The sequence below is a fragment of the Homo sapiens genome, chromosome 15 (assembly GCF_000001405.40).
Source record: "Homo sapiens chromosome 15, GRCh38.p14 Primary Assembly".
NCBI lineage: Eukaryota > Metazoa > Chordata > Mammalia > Primates > Hominidae > Homo > Homo sapiens.
In genome coordinates, this window is record NC_000015.10 from 69,603,826 (window position 1) to 69,618,695 (window position 14,870).

The 14,870-nt window shown below is 45.0% G+C and overlaps 1 long non-coding RNA gene across 2 annotated transcripts in view; it reads left to right on the top strand.

Moving 5' to 3' along the window:
- The window catches only part of PCAT29 (prostate cancer associated transcript 29), a 103,551-nt gene that overhangs the window by 11,626 nt on the left and 77,055 nt on the right, over nucleotides 1–14,870 (top strand). The window contains exon 2 of one of the 2 annotated variants that reach the window (NR_126437.1): nucleotides 7,130–7,250. The exons of the other annotated variant lie outside the window; for it this stretch is intronic. This is a non-coding gene — a long non-coding RNA (prostate cancer associated transcript 29). The remainder of the gene's footprint in view (nucleotides 1–7,129; nucleotides 7,251–14,870) is intronic. 2 annotated transcript variants of the gene reach the window in all.

Genomic DNA, 14,870 nt, shown 5'->3' on the forward strand with positions numbered 1-14,870 from the left:
TGGTAAGAAGAGTGAATAACATAGCTTCCCCCTGAGCCTGAAGTGCTTGGGGCTTTGAGCAAAGCCCTCACATTCCTCCAAGCCAGGAGCTCATGACCACATGCTTCCCCCCTTCTGGAATCTTCCCTAACTCCTCCTGGGGCAGCTCCATGCCAGCTGCCCTTTTGAAAGCCACTGTTTGCTTTCCCTGCCTCCAGTTTTATCATTTTCTCCAGGAAAATATTTGCCTTCCCATTATTTTAATCATGCCTCACGGGTCCAGCAGGGAGGCCTTGCAGAAGAATAAGCCCTGTTTCCTGTTTGCTGTACTGGGAAGACAAACAGGTTTGTTTGACTTACCTGCATCTTCCCAGTAGGTGGACCTCTTGGAGCAAACACAGACTAGACCTTGGGCGTCCTGCCCCTTGGACCTGGAGTTGACTTGACTGGGGAGCATTTAAAATGGAAATTGCTTCCCATAAGGCAAGCTGGGGTGGATGGAGCTATTCTCTTTGGTTTATCACAGAGCACGGGTTCCTCTTATCGTGCATGGTGCCTGAACTGGAAGTGAGCTTCTCTTGAATCCAGGAAACATTCAGTCTTCCTCAAATAGCAACCGAGCCCTGTAATACTTGAATGGATTGATCTAAGAGTGAGACTTCAAGATGAAAATATTCTAGAGATTAGGGGTGGGAATAAGTAGGGGGCTATGACCAGGGAGAAACTTGAAATTTATTGGTGTAAAAATGGCCCTGATTTTTGAAGCCAGACAGATCTGGTTCAAATTCAATTATAGGTGAACTACTTTTTATGTGTGTGTTGCTAAGGATAGAGCTGTTGCTTCATCCATTCTGTGAATGTTTAGTGAGCACTTCCCAGGTGTCATCCCTATTTTAACTGTTGTGATGCACCAGTGAACAAAACAAGTAATAATTTCTACCCTTTGGAGTTTACAATCCAGTGGAAAAAAGCCAGGCAAACATAAGACATAAGAAAAACATGTAGCAAGTTAGAAAGGGATTAAAAAAAAAAAGTGGAAGAGGGCCAGGTGCGGTGGTTCACGCCTGTAATTCCAGCACTTTGGGAGGCCTAAGCAGGTGGATCACCTGAGGTCAAGAGTTCAAGACCAGCCTGGCCAACATGGTGAAACCCTGTCTCTACTAAAAATATAAAAATTAGCCGGGCGTGATGGCAGGTGCCTGTAATCCTAGCTACTCTGGAGGCTGAGGCACAAGAATCTCTTGAACCCTGGAGCCGGAGGTTGCAGTGAGCTGAGATCATGCCATTGCACGCCAGCCTGGGTGACAGAGTGAGACTCCGTCTCTAAAAAAAAAAGTGGAACAGATTTAGTGTGACTGGGAAGGTGTTGTGGGTGCAGGGTGGGTGGGTGAGGGTGCAGTATAAATAGGATGGTCAGGGTAGGCCTCTTGAAGAAGGTGATATTTGAATAACAACTTAAGGAGGGAAAGTACTTAATTCCAGACATGTCTGATTCCAAAGCCCAAGCTCTTAAAAGCCTACACCACCTCTCTCCCAGTTGAATACCAGCAGAAAGCTGGACACATAGTAGTACTTGGTAAGTATTAGTGCTTATCCCATCCCTCTTCCTTTTAGAGTATCTTGGGCATGCATCAACCGGGAAGACAGACAAGAGGGTGGTGGGGATCCCAGCAGGGCACCATTGCCAGAGCAATGTGTGGGCATGAAGTAGGGATCCTGGGGAGCAGGCAGTCACCAAGATGCCCATGTCTTCTCTTAGGGTTGGAGTTCACTCAGGTTGGGGAGTAGAGTTAGGGTGGGGAGGGCTAGAACAGTTAGGGAAGATAAGACTCATCCATTGATGCTCACTGCGCTCTCTAACTTTGCCCTGGAAACAAATGCACTACACAAACATTTATTGAGGGCCTACTAGGAACCCGGTGCTTCCCCATGCATGTCATTCTCCCAACTGTCCTCTGAAGCAGGCAATAGCATCTCCATTTCACAGCTAGAGAAACTGAGGCTCAAAGGTTGTAAAGCTTATGTGTTGCTGACTGGCTTGGATATAGCTTTGGATCTGTCTGATTTTACAGACCAGGTAATTTTTACTTTATAATCATGATCAATTTCTGACTGAACAGAAAATTTATCTGAACAGCTGCCAATGTCACTATCATCCTCAACCTCACCATCAACATTACCAACATCACCATCACCATTAAAATCGCAATCACTATCACCACCGTCACTGTCACCGTCACCATTATCGTCACCATCATCAACATCACCATCAGCTTCACTATCAATGGTCCTGTGATTACAGGCAGCAGGGCATGTCAGATCATCTCTCTCAGCTTCAGCTTCTTTATCTGTGAAATGAGGATAACTATATCTACCCCAGAGGTTAGGAGAGGTGCTGAAGTAGGTCTTCTATTTCCTCCACTCCACCAAAACTGCTGTTTTCAAAATCATCAATGACCTCTATAATTGTTGTCATTATACTCACCCTCCAAGAGCATTCAATGCCTCTGACCACTTCCTTCTCTTGGCTTTGTGACAGTCGCTTTCTGGTTTCCCTTCCAGCTCACCGATCCCCATCCTCCTTTGCTAGCTCTGTCTCATCTACTAGATCCCTAAATATTTGAGTCTTGCAGAGCTTTCTTCAAACGGGCTCTCTAACTGCTTCCTCCCTAGTCCAAACAACCATCGTGCCTCCCTTGAAATACTATAGAAACTCCATATCACTAGGGCACGGTCAGGGAAGTGGACCTTAGAGTGGGCCATGGAGCACCCCCTGGGGAAGAAGGGTCCCTTCCTGGGCCCATCTAGAACTAACAGCACTCACTTCAAGGAGGAGATATAGGGTCAATCCTGAGCAGAATTTTTCGCAGGTAGTTTGTGAAGTCTCTGCCTCCTGAATCTGCATCCCTTTCAGCTTTCTGTTGCTTGCTGGGTCTGTACTATCTCAGATGATCAGAGCCCTCAGAATCTTCCCACCCTAAACATGTCCACACTGAGATGTCAGGGACAGTGGCCCCCACTTGGTTTCTATTTAGCAGAGAACTAACAGAGTGCTATAGAGAGATCCCCAGTTAATGGCTGGGAACATTTGCAGAATGCTTTCCTGAAAACTGAAATAGCACCCCTTTGGGGGCTACTGTTTCTGCCTCCACATTGGGGGGCTTGTTCTGAGACAGATGGTCCCCTGTTGGGCTGTTCTCACACACACGAGCAGAGGAATTCTTTTAGGTCCTCTTGGCCTCGGGAGCATTTTGAATCAGATGCCAGGAGAAACAGATTGCCTACCCCTTATTCTGGGGGCTGTGGGTGGATGGCTTTGAGAGGAGATCTCTTCCAAGAATGTGTTTTCCCTTACATCTTCAGGATGCCATGCACTTCCCGCTCTGCTCTTTTGAGGCTGGCATAAGCATGAGAGTTGCTTGGGGGGGAACGTCTGTACCGCCTCTGCCCCACTGCTCAGGAGCAATGGCGGATGAGTGAGTCACTTTTGGCATCCTCCTTTGTTCCCTTTGCGTAGGGCTACCCAGTTGGTAACACTACAATCTGCTCTCCACCACCAGCTTAACATTCCTAAAATAGCTCAGTGTGATTGGGCCATTCCGTTGCTCAAGAACCATCCAGAGTCTTCCATTGCCTGTAGAATGAAGTCCCAGGCTTTCGTCTCACGTTCGAGGTTGCTACCATCTGGCCTTCATTTGCTTTTCCAACCATGCCCCTCATTCCTTCTCTACCCAAGGTCTTCCCTCCAGACAGTCAGGTCTACTCTCCTTTCCCAGAATGCCTGGCCTCCTGGCTGCATCCACACCATTCTCTTGGTTAAAATGCTATCCCCCTTTGTTGCCTGTATAAACTTCTTCCTGTTCTTCCAAACAGGTTTGAGGCCAACCTTGCAAAGGCCTCCTCTCCTTGGATGTCTTCCTTGATCCCTCCTTTCATTTGCCCCCTGATTCCATGTTACCACACAGAGGCCCTCTTGTGACTACTTACCTAGGTGTGGGCAGGGAGTGGGAGAACCACAAGGGACAGTACCCAGGGCTATTACCACCAACAGGTACTCCCAGTAGCAGGAGAGCTATTACCACTTCTAGGCCTGAAGAAGCGAGGGGAGGAAACTGTTAACAAAACCTGGAAGGAGGAAGGCCTGCAGAGAAGACCACAGGGCTGTGACCTTCCACAGAGATGTAGTCAGCTTGGGGAGAGCTCTCCGGTGAGTCAGGAGAATGAGCACCCCTTAATTGAGACCAATTGGAAGCCAGAGCGCAAGGGAGCCCCTTAGAAAGTCTCTGCAGGGGCCGGGTGTGGTGGCTCATGCCTGTAATCCCAGCACTTTGGGAGGCCAAGGCAGGCGGATCACAAGGTCAGGAGTTTGAGACTAGCCTGGCCAATATGGTGAAACCCCGTCGCTCGTAAAAATACAAAAATTAGCCAGGCGTGGTGGCAGGTGCCTGTAGTCCCAGCTACTCGGGAAGCTGAGATAGGAGAATTGCTTGAACCTGAGAGGCAGAGGTTGCAGTGAGCCAAGATCACACCATTGTACTCCAGCCTGGGTGACAGCGAGACTCCAACTCAAAAAAAAAAAAAAAAGTCTCTGCAGGTCAGCCTTCCTGTGTGGGTAGAGGAGTGAAGGAGTGTGGAAAGGAATCTGGAGGGATGTAAAGAGGAAGGGGATTCTAGCTTTTACCTTAGATATCAGATGGGTAAATTGTGAAGACTTTGAATGTCACAAGTAGAAAGATTCTTAGATTCAAGCTGTTCCACATCATTTCCCATATAGGAAAGTGGAAGCCCAGAGGGTGTTCGCGCTGATCTGAGACCACACAGTAAGGTAGTGTCAGAGATGAGACGGGACGAAGTGTGAACCCCCCAGTTCATTAGTCAATTGTTTCTTTGGAACAGAGCATCTAATAAGTTACACAATAAGAATCTGAGTTTTAGTCTTACTGGCCATGCTGGCTGTTTGGTAACTGGTGAGATGGCCTGACGGGAGTCTGTTTGCAAGTGGTGGCTGACAGCCCTCCACGGAAGAGGTGCATCCTGAAGGGGGAAGCCATGGACGATGATTTTACCCAGTGGTATGTGGATTGACATTATGGACATAGCACGGCAGTTGTTTGTTTGTTTGTTTTCTTTTTTTTCTTTTTTTTTTTTTTTGAGACAGCATCTCACTCTATTTCCTAGGCTGGAATGCAGTGGTGCAATCACAGCTCACTGCAGCCTTGACCTCCCAGGCTCAAGCAATCCTCCCATTTTAACCTCTCAAGCGGCTGGGACTACAGGCACGTACCACCATACCTTGCTAATATCTTTAAATTTTTTTTTTTTTTTTTTTGTAGAGACGAGGTCTCACTGTGTTGCTAGGGCTGGTCTCAAACTTCTGACCTCAGGTGATCCACCCGCCTCAGCCTCCCAAAGTGCTGAGATTACAGGCGTGAGCCACTGTGCCCAGCTGGCAGTTGTTTTTCAAGTCTGTTGTCCACCTCGGTTCCTGGACACCATTTGAATGCTCTCCCACGGAGAGCAGAGAGAGAGAGAGAGAGAGAGAGAGAGAGTGTGTGTGTGTGTTTTAAGGGGAGGAATCTACAGTAGAATCTGAAAGAGCTCTTTCACTCATCTCTGAGTCACACTGAACTCCAAGCAGCACTGCTGTGGGTTCCCCATAAGGGAGCATAACAGAGAGACAGCTCTCCCACACCCCACTGTATTTATTATTATTATTACTTTTTGAGATGGAGTCTCACTCTGTTGCTTGGGCTGGAGTGCAGTGGCGCAATCTCGGCTCACTGCAACCTCTACCTCCCGGGTTCAAGTGGTTCTCCTGCCTCAGCCTCCTGAGTAGCTGGGATTACAGGCGCCCATGACCACTCCCGGCTAATTTTAGTAGAGACAGGGTTTCACCATGTTGGCCAGGCTGGTCTCCAACTCCTGACCTCAGGTGATCTGCCCACCTCAGTCTCCCAAAGTGTTGGGATTACAGATGTGAGCCACTGTCCTGGCACCCAACTTTGTTTTAATTCTCTTTCACCCGATTTCCTTCTACTCTTTTTTTTAAAAATTGAAGCAGTTGTGCAGTTTTTTGCAATGTTCAGACTCTGATACTTATGACTCCTTACATCTCAGATCAAGCCGTGGGAAGGCCCGGGCAGGGAATATGATATCCAATGGTCAGTGGAAAGAATGCACTCAGGGAAGTCAAATACATGGTCTAAGTTCCCACAGCTGGAAAGGGATGACCAAGCAGTAGGCTTGACTCTGAAGACCATGCCGTTTTGATTTTACCATATTGGGACTCTCTCCCTCTGCCAACCGTTCCTTTTTCTGAGTCTTTTCCTATTCTTTTTCTCTCTCATCTCTCAACCTTTCCCTTCTTCACCTCCATCTCCCCCATCCTCTCTATCTCTCTCTTTCTCCTTTTCCCCTCTCCCCACTCTTCTGAAAAGCCACAGCTTCTCTCTGTTCTAATATGCCTAAGACATTGTCCCAGAAACTTTCTTATGTGCTTCTTGACACCCAGAGTGACTGAACACAGGTATGTTTGTTGGGAGAGCCTCTGCCTCCATGGGAAGAGAAGCTAACTGGTTGACTTTCTGCTACTTGTACCAGCCAAGGGGCTATTTGCAGACAGTACATAACAATGACAAAGCACCATAAGACATTGAGCAATCTTTCCTTGCATCAATTAGATTCTGACATCTGCTTACTGTTTAATTATCTTTTGACTGAGGAAATGGAAAAGTTGACAAGTAGTTCAACCCAACAAGAGTCAGGTTCCTTATTTTTCCCCCTTCATGAGCATGTTTTTAGAACACTGATCTGCCAGCATCTCCTGGTCTCTCTGGGGCACTGGCAAAAAATACAGACAAATATTTATGTTCCATGAACTCAAGAAGGTTTTCATATTGTTTTCATGTTTAACTGATTTCAAATGAACGACAATGGCTCTTAATGTGGTTACAAGAATTTGCCATTAATTTTCACTTGAAATTGGATGCAGCCGGTGTACATGCCTATACTGTATTCTAGTTCTTAACGATTTGCCTTCCAAAAACATAGGCTGCTTCCTACTGGCTGATGGGCACAGCAGCTTAGTGAGGGTATCGATCTCCTATTACATGTGAACAAAAATTAAATTGAGAATATCACCCTATTTCAGAGTGCTTTGCCTGTAGCATTTGAGGCAGGCGGCTGGGACACTGAATGAAGAGCCTGGGGGAGGCAGGTTCAGCATGCCACCGTTTCCTGGTCATGAAGATGCCAGCTCCAGCTCCAAGCAGGTGACAAGGCTGGGTGGCCAGGGGACATGGGAGTGTGGTTCGAGGTCTCAGAGCATTTTAAAAAACTTCCGTTGTCTTTCTACCTTGGATTTCAGGAGCACCAGGGTAATGTTCTAAACTTCTTTGTGAGGTTTAAAGTCTTCCCTCCCTTGGTCTAAAATGTTGAAGTGGGTGGTGGAACAGAGAGGTGACATGAAGATGAGAGTTGAGCCAGAGGAATAGGATTCTCCATCTTTGGGGACGTCATTTAATTTTGGAAACACTCAGTTTCTGTTTAAGCAGTGTAACCATATAATTTGTTGAACACTTTTGAAGGGGTGAATGTTAAATTGGATAGCATGTTGGGAAAATGGGCTTAAACTGGAGATAAGGTCGACCTATGAATAAAGAAGGGATTAGGCCACATAGCGGGGGTCAGGGGTGGTAAATAGGTTTCATACCCATGGTAATTATGGAAGAGCCATCAGGCTTTCTGGACTGCATTGTGGAGGGGATGGTGCAGCTGCTTTTGAGCACCATGGAAGAGTTTCCTGATTGATTAGCAATGTCTGCTCTAGTCTCTGGGAAGGATGGCTGCACCCTTGCGGGTATTCACCATTCCTGGATTGGATGTCTTCAAGAGCCTTTTCAATTCTATTTTTGAAATAAGAATAATTGAGAAGTGAATGAAGCTAACCTTCTTATTTAAATGCCCTGGAGTTTGAGACCTGGAAAGCCAGACTGAGAGGCCTATGGCAGTGCTTTTCCAACTGAATGTGTACACTTGAATCTTGTCAAAATGCAGATTCTGAATCAGAAGTCTGGGCTAAGGCCCAATAGCCTCAATTTCTGATGAGTTCCCAGGTGATACCGATGCTGCTGGTCTGTGGGCCACACTTTGAGCAACAAAGACCTAAGGCAGCATCCTGAACCTGGGCCAGTGCCCCTTCACTGCAGGCTCATAGCCTGCAGAAGAACCTGTATATATGCTACTTTCCAAAGATTTTTTTCCGCAGGTCATTTAAGTGATTCCTCCAGACAGCCTTTTAATGTTTGATAGATTATTTCCCGCCCCCATCACCCAGTTTTTTTTTCCTAAATGTGCTTTTCAGGTGCAGCAGGTTTAAGTGCCTAGCCCAAGAGCTATAAATGGCAGAGCTGAGACTCACATTTAAGTCTTTGCCCTTCCCCAGGTGGCCCTTTGAGCACCTATCTGGCAGGCCTAATTATAGAGGTAATGTTGTGAGTGCCCTCAGCTCAAATGGGGCAGCTCTTGGAGCAGTGCCAAGGGATTGTACTGATGCTAAATATGCCTTCAGATCACGTCAGAAGCCTAAGATTGCCTTGTGACCCCCAGCTCCACCATTCCAGCCAGTCATTAAGGCAGGCAGACAACATCTTACAGTCTTGGGTTCATGGGAGCCTTTTTTGTTCTTATGAGGGTTTTAGAGCCAGATAGACCTGGATCAGAATCTTTCCATGTCATTTGACCTTAAGCAAGTTACTTAATCTCCCAAATTAAAATCCCTTCACCTGTAAAAAGGCACATTCTTGGCTGAGCGCGGTGGCTCACGCCTGTAATCTCAGCACTTTGGGAGGCTGAGGCAGGCGGATCATAAGGTCAGGAGTTTTAGACCAGCCTGACCAACATGGTGAAACCCCGTCTCTACTACTAAAAATACAAAAATTAGCCAGGCATGGTGGTGCGCAGCTGTAATCCCAGCTACTCGGGAGGCTGAGGCAGGAGAATTGCTTGAACCCAGGAGGCGGAGGTTGCAGTGAGCTAAGATCGCGCCATTGCACTCCAGCCTTGGCAACAGAGGGAGACTCCATTTCAAAAAAAAAAAAAAAAAAAAATAGGCACATTCTTGCCTTTCAGAGTTGTTGGAAAGATGAAAATAAACAATGAATGTAGTAAAATGCATGGCACAGTGCATAGCAAAGATGGAACATTTTGTTTCTCCCCTTTGCCCTTCAGAAGAACTGTAATTCCTTAGTGTTGCTACTCACTGCACAAATACAGTGTAACTATCTTAGATTCTTCTTGATACAGTGGTGTACTCCACAATAATGGGTTCAACCTTTATGTAGTGCCTTCCCGTACACAATAAAATAGAAAACCATATTCATTACCAAATATCATTCTTTCATGATATAACACACAAAAAACTATTTAAACAAACTTCAAAACTTATACTGTAAAACATGTCAGCACCAAAAACTATGCAGGCAACACAGACAAATTTGAAAATTAGAAGAAAACTTAAAATGTCCCCGTTGTGATTTGGCATTAGCAAAATCACCGATAAGTTTCGCAACTTCTGCTGCCTTGTTTCTGCAGCGAGTGGTGTTAATTCTGTTAAACATTGTTGTCACAGAGTGTTCCTTAAATAGTTTTTAATTGGTTTTAATTTGGAGAAAAAACGTTTTGCTGAAGATACAGGGGCAGGAATTGTCAAAAATAAAATTAACAGATAACATTCTACGGAAAAACTTGGAGACATGCTGTGTCATTGTATACTCCCTTGGCAAATGTATGGATGCTTTAATTTTGTCAGTTTCACGTGTTAATGATTTTCACAGAACAGTAAGTTAATTGGTAGTGCTTCCAATGGATCCCTGGAATCTTTCGTTTTCACCTCCTGTGCGTTCTTCACAGCGGACTTTTCATCCACATGAATTAATTAGGATGGTGGAAAAAAATGCAATCAAATCAGCAGTTGTATTTAACCCTGAAATCTTAGGCCTATTTAGGTAATCAACATTATCAATTATCCATGAAAAAAAGGTAAGGAATATATAAAATCCTTCTTTAAAAAAAAAATCTGCTGAAGCTCAAAGTACTGCTGTCCTGATACTCAGCAAATCAACAGGTGGAGGCAGATGATGTAGATGATGCAAAAATCTTTTCATTATTATGGTATCTTGGCAAAATTTTAGCCAAAGCAGTCTCTCTTTTTTTTAATTTGGAAAATATAGTCAGATTTTTTCACCTATCTTTTAAGATATTAGCATAGTTCTATATGTATAAATGCATAATTCTATTAAAGAATTCTGCATTGCTTCAGCTAAGGGAGCAACAGCCGCTCTGACAGCTCTGACTTTGCAAATGCCAGCCAAGTGCCCACATTCTCTTGGCTATAAAGGCAGTAGAGGTCAATATGCTTTCCTAGGAGTCATCAAGTATTGCCAAGGAATAGTCCCAATCTCATTGCATATCACATTTCAGGCATGCCGTACTCTGTTCAAATGGCATCTGGTGTAAAATATGTATTAGAAACTGCTTCTTCCCAAGATTGAGAAGATCTGAATTATGCAGGGGGAAAACTGACAAGTACAGTGTGTCTACACTTAAGTATATGTAGTATGTCCTTGTATTTGCTTAGCCAATAGGGTGCTAAGAGGTGGGATTTGAAAGTTCCTGTCTAACAGACAGAGTATGTATTTATTAATAGTACTCCATAGGCCATTGGCTACAGAAGAGATGTTCTTGAATATTAATGATATTCTCATTTGATTGTCATGGAAGCCAGAGTGGAATTCTATTCAAGTGCAGTTTTTATTTATACTGCAATGGTGTCACGTAGATTTAAAAATCAGTCGCCCGCATGATAACCACAGCTAGTACCATAGAAGCTTTAAACTCTCAAGGGCTCCTAGTAACCCATGGCCCTGAAACAGTGCACCATCCCAGCTTGACATGGGTTCCTTAGTTTCCCCCTTTCATAGTGATCAACTGGGTGATCAAGGCCTCCACAGCCTGGCCCCAGCTTCAGCCCAGATCCCCACCTAACAAAGCCCCTCCCCAGCCCCACTGTGCTGGCCCTCCTGAGCAAGGCTTCTGTCTTCTGCCACTGCTCCTGCAGCCTTGTGCCTGCTTTTCAGGTTTTCTCTGCTCCTCTGCCTGTATCAATCCTGCTCATCCTTTAAGACCCGGCATAGACCCTGTATCAATCAGGGTCCTGGCAAGAAACAGCTGATGCATCAGAAAGGGGTTTGAAGAGAGTTAAGGAGGGATGCTTTATAAGGGAATGGCCAGGGCACAGCAAGAGCAACATGAGATGTTGTAGAACCCTGGGACGACTACAGTGGGGAGCTGCTACTGTCCCTAGGCTGGAAGAGGTGAGGCGAGGGAGGGAAACCACAGAAGGCCCACAGCCATAAGTGAGGACTGCCTGGTGGGAGTCATGGCCTTCGCTGGAGGAAACTGGTTATTGGTAACCCTCAGCTCGGCAGAGAGGAAGCCAGAGGAGTGCAAACCCTACTCTTTCCTCTTGCTGTGCATCCCCTGTTGCCCATCAACTTTGGCCAAACCCAACTTAGAGAGGGAGGACAAGAAGACCCTCGCGCGGCCCTTATAAGGGTCAGCCTCCCAGCCAGAGCAGGGTGGAGAGAGACAGAGCCTGAATTGGGAGGGGACCCCTCTGCCTTCTCCCAGGAGCAGCCTGATGAATCCAGCCCAGAGAGGCCTCTCTCCTCTGAAGCCCAGAGCACTTCTGGTTTGAATGCGCACTTGGCCTGAGTAGCTGTGATGTGTCTTCATGTTGTGCTGCAAGGTCATTGCTTTCTTGCATTTTTAGTTTGCCTCATGCTCCCCACTGACTATGGAAGCTCCTTGAAGCAGGGCCTTCACTTGTTCTCTTTGTATTTCTCATATGGAAAGAAGTAAATACCCTGGAATGTCTTGCTTGAGTCAGTTTGGAACATATTGTTCCTTTGTTGCCACTCCACCCCACCCCCAACCCAAACACACACCTCCGGGGCATCAGGACCTGTGCCTGGTAGATTATTCTTGGTAGGAGGGTGGGTATTGAGATAAGGGGGAAGAAGCCAGGAGCCCTGGCCCTGGTTTGGGGAGTTTTCAGCAGATGCAATAGGAAGCCAGAGCACAGGGTCAAACAGAGGGAAGCCGAGGGCCAGACCTAGGAGGAGCTGGGTGAGGCGGGCAGAAAGTGTCACCAAAGCAAAAGGGGAGGGAGACAGAGACTGACATGGGATGCCAGTTGGGAGTACAGGGCCAGGGGACCCGGGCAAGTGAGTTACCACTAATGAGACATTGGAACTGATGGGGAGGGACTCGGATGCAAGGTTAAACAGGGTGCCAACCGTAGTCTAGCCCTATACTGTCCAATATGTCAGCCACTAGCTATGTGTGGCTATTTAAATTTAAATTAACTAAAATTACCTAAAATTAAAAATTCAGTTTCTCAGGCACACTAGCCACATTTCAAGTGCTCTACTGTGTTGGCCAATGTGGATGCAGGCATTTCCATCATTGCAGAACCTCCTACTGTACAGCCTGCTCCAGAACATTCTAGAGATCTTAGGGTCCTAACAATGCTAAAAACATACCTGTTTGTTTGATTTGAGCTGGTCTTATCTGTCTTGATATCAAATAGTCCTAGCTTTCACTTTGCTAGTGAATAATTGTGTGACGAGTCCCCAAACCTCAGCTTTGTCTTCTAGAAAATGAGGCAAATGACAAAGGACTAATTGAATTGAGGATTTGAAGGTGTCTTGAATGGCCATAGATACAAAGGAGGAGCTCTCTAATAAATATTATTTCCCAAACTCCTGACGACCACAACAAGGATACGAACCAGCACTTACTGAGAGCTTGTTCAGCTGGCACTGAGCTGAACAGTGATTGCCTTATGCAATTCTCATAGTAATTCTGTAGGGAGATAGTATCACTGTTCCCATTTTTCAGATAAGGCAATGAAGCTGCAATAAGATTAAAACTGTTGCTCAATGCCACATAGTGGTGGAGCCAAGTTTCTTTGTATTTGATTTAAAACTGTCAAACATTGTTCTCTGCTGTTTCCTGTAACATCTTGTCTTCCCACTTAGGCCATTAAGAACATCTTAGGCTTCATTTGAACCTTGCAATGTGCGTGGCACAGGACTGGACTGATGCTCAGTTGCTAATTGGCACATCAGTTTTGATAAATTTTAACAAAATATTTAAACTTTCTTTCTTTTTTTAAAAATTATACTTTAAGTTTTAGGATACATGTGCACAACGTGCAGGTTCGTTACATATGTATACATGTGCCATGTTGGTGTGCTGCACCCCTTAACTCATCATTTAACATTAGGTATATCTCCTAATGCTGTCCCTAACCCCTCCCCCTACCCCACAGCAGGCCCCGGTGTGTGATGTTCCCCTTCCTGTGTCCATGTGTTCTCATTATTCAATTCCCACCTATGAGTGAGAACATGCAGTGTTTGTTTTTTTGTCCTTGCGATAGTTTGCTTGGAATGATGGTTTCCAGCTTCATCCATGTCCCTACAAAGGACACGAACTCATCCTTTTTTATGGCTGCATAGTATTCCATGGTGTATATGTGCCACATTTTCTTAATCCAGTCTATCATTGTTGGACATTTGGGTTGGTTCCAAGTCTTTGTTATTGTGAATAGTGCCGCAATAAACATATGTGTGCATGTGTCTTTATAGCAGCATGATTTATAATCCTTTGGGTATATACCCAGTAATGGGATGGCTGGGTCAAATGGTATTTCTAGTTCAGATCCCTGAGGAATTGCCACACTGACTTCCACAATGGTTGAACTAGTTTACAGTCCCACCAACAGTGTAAAAGTGTTCCAATTTCTCCACATCCTCTCCAGCACCTGTTGTTTCCTGACTTTTTAATGATCGCCATTCTAACTGGTGTGAGATGGTATTTCATTGTGGTTTTGATTTGCATTTCTCTGATGGCCAGTGATGAAGAGCATTTTTTTCATGTGTATTTTGGCTGCATAAATGTCTCCTTTTGAGAAGTGTCTGTTCATATCCTTTGCCCACTTGTTGATGGGGTTGTTTGTTTTTTTCTTGTAAATTTGTTTGAGTTCATTGTAGATTCTGGATATTAGCCCTTTGTCAGATGAGTAGATTGCAAAAATTTTCTCCCATTCTGAAGGTTGCCTGTTCACTCTGATGGTAGTTTCTTTTGCTCTGCAGAAGCTCTTTAGTTTAATTAGATCCCATTTGTCAATTTTAGCTTTTGTTGCCGTTGCTTTTTGTGTTTTAGACATGAAGTCCTTGCCCATGCCTATGTCCTGAATGGTATTGCCTAGGTTTTCTTCTAGGGTTTTTATGGTTTTAGGTCTAACATTTAAGTCTTTAATCCATCTTGAATTAATTTTTGTATAAGGTGTAAGGAAGGGATCCACTTTCAGCTTTCTGCATATAGTTTCCCAGCACCATTTATTAAATAGGGAATCCTTTCCCCATTTCTTCTTTTTGTCAGGTATGTCAAAGATCAGATAGTTGTAGATATGTGGCATTATTTCTGAGGGCTCTGTTCTGTTGTTCCATTGGTCTATATCTCTGTTTTGGTACCAGTAGCATGCTGTTTTGGTTACTGTAGCCTTGTAATATAGTTTGAAGTCAGGTATCGTGATGCCTCCAGCTTTGTTCTTTTGGCTTATGATTGACTTGGCTATGTGGGCTCTTTTTTGGTTCCATTTGAACTTTAAAGTAGTTTTTTCCAGTTCTGTGAAGAAAGTCATTGGTAGCTTGATGGGGATGGCATTGAATCTATAAATTACCTTGGGCAGTATGGCCATTTTCACGATATTGATTCTTCCTACCCATGAGCATGGAATGTTCTTCCATTTGTTTGTATCCTCTTTT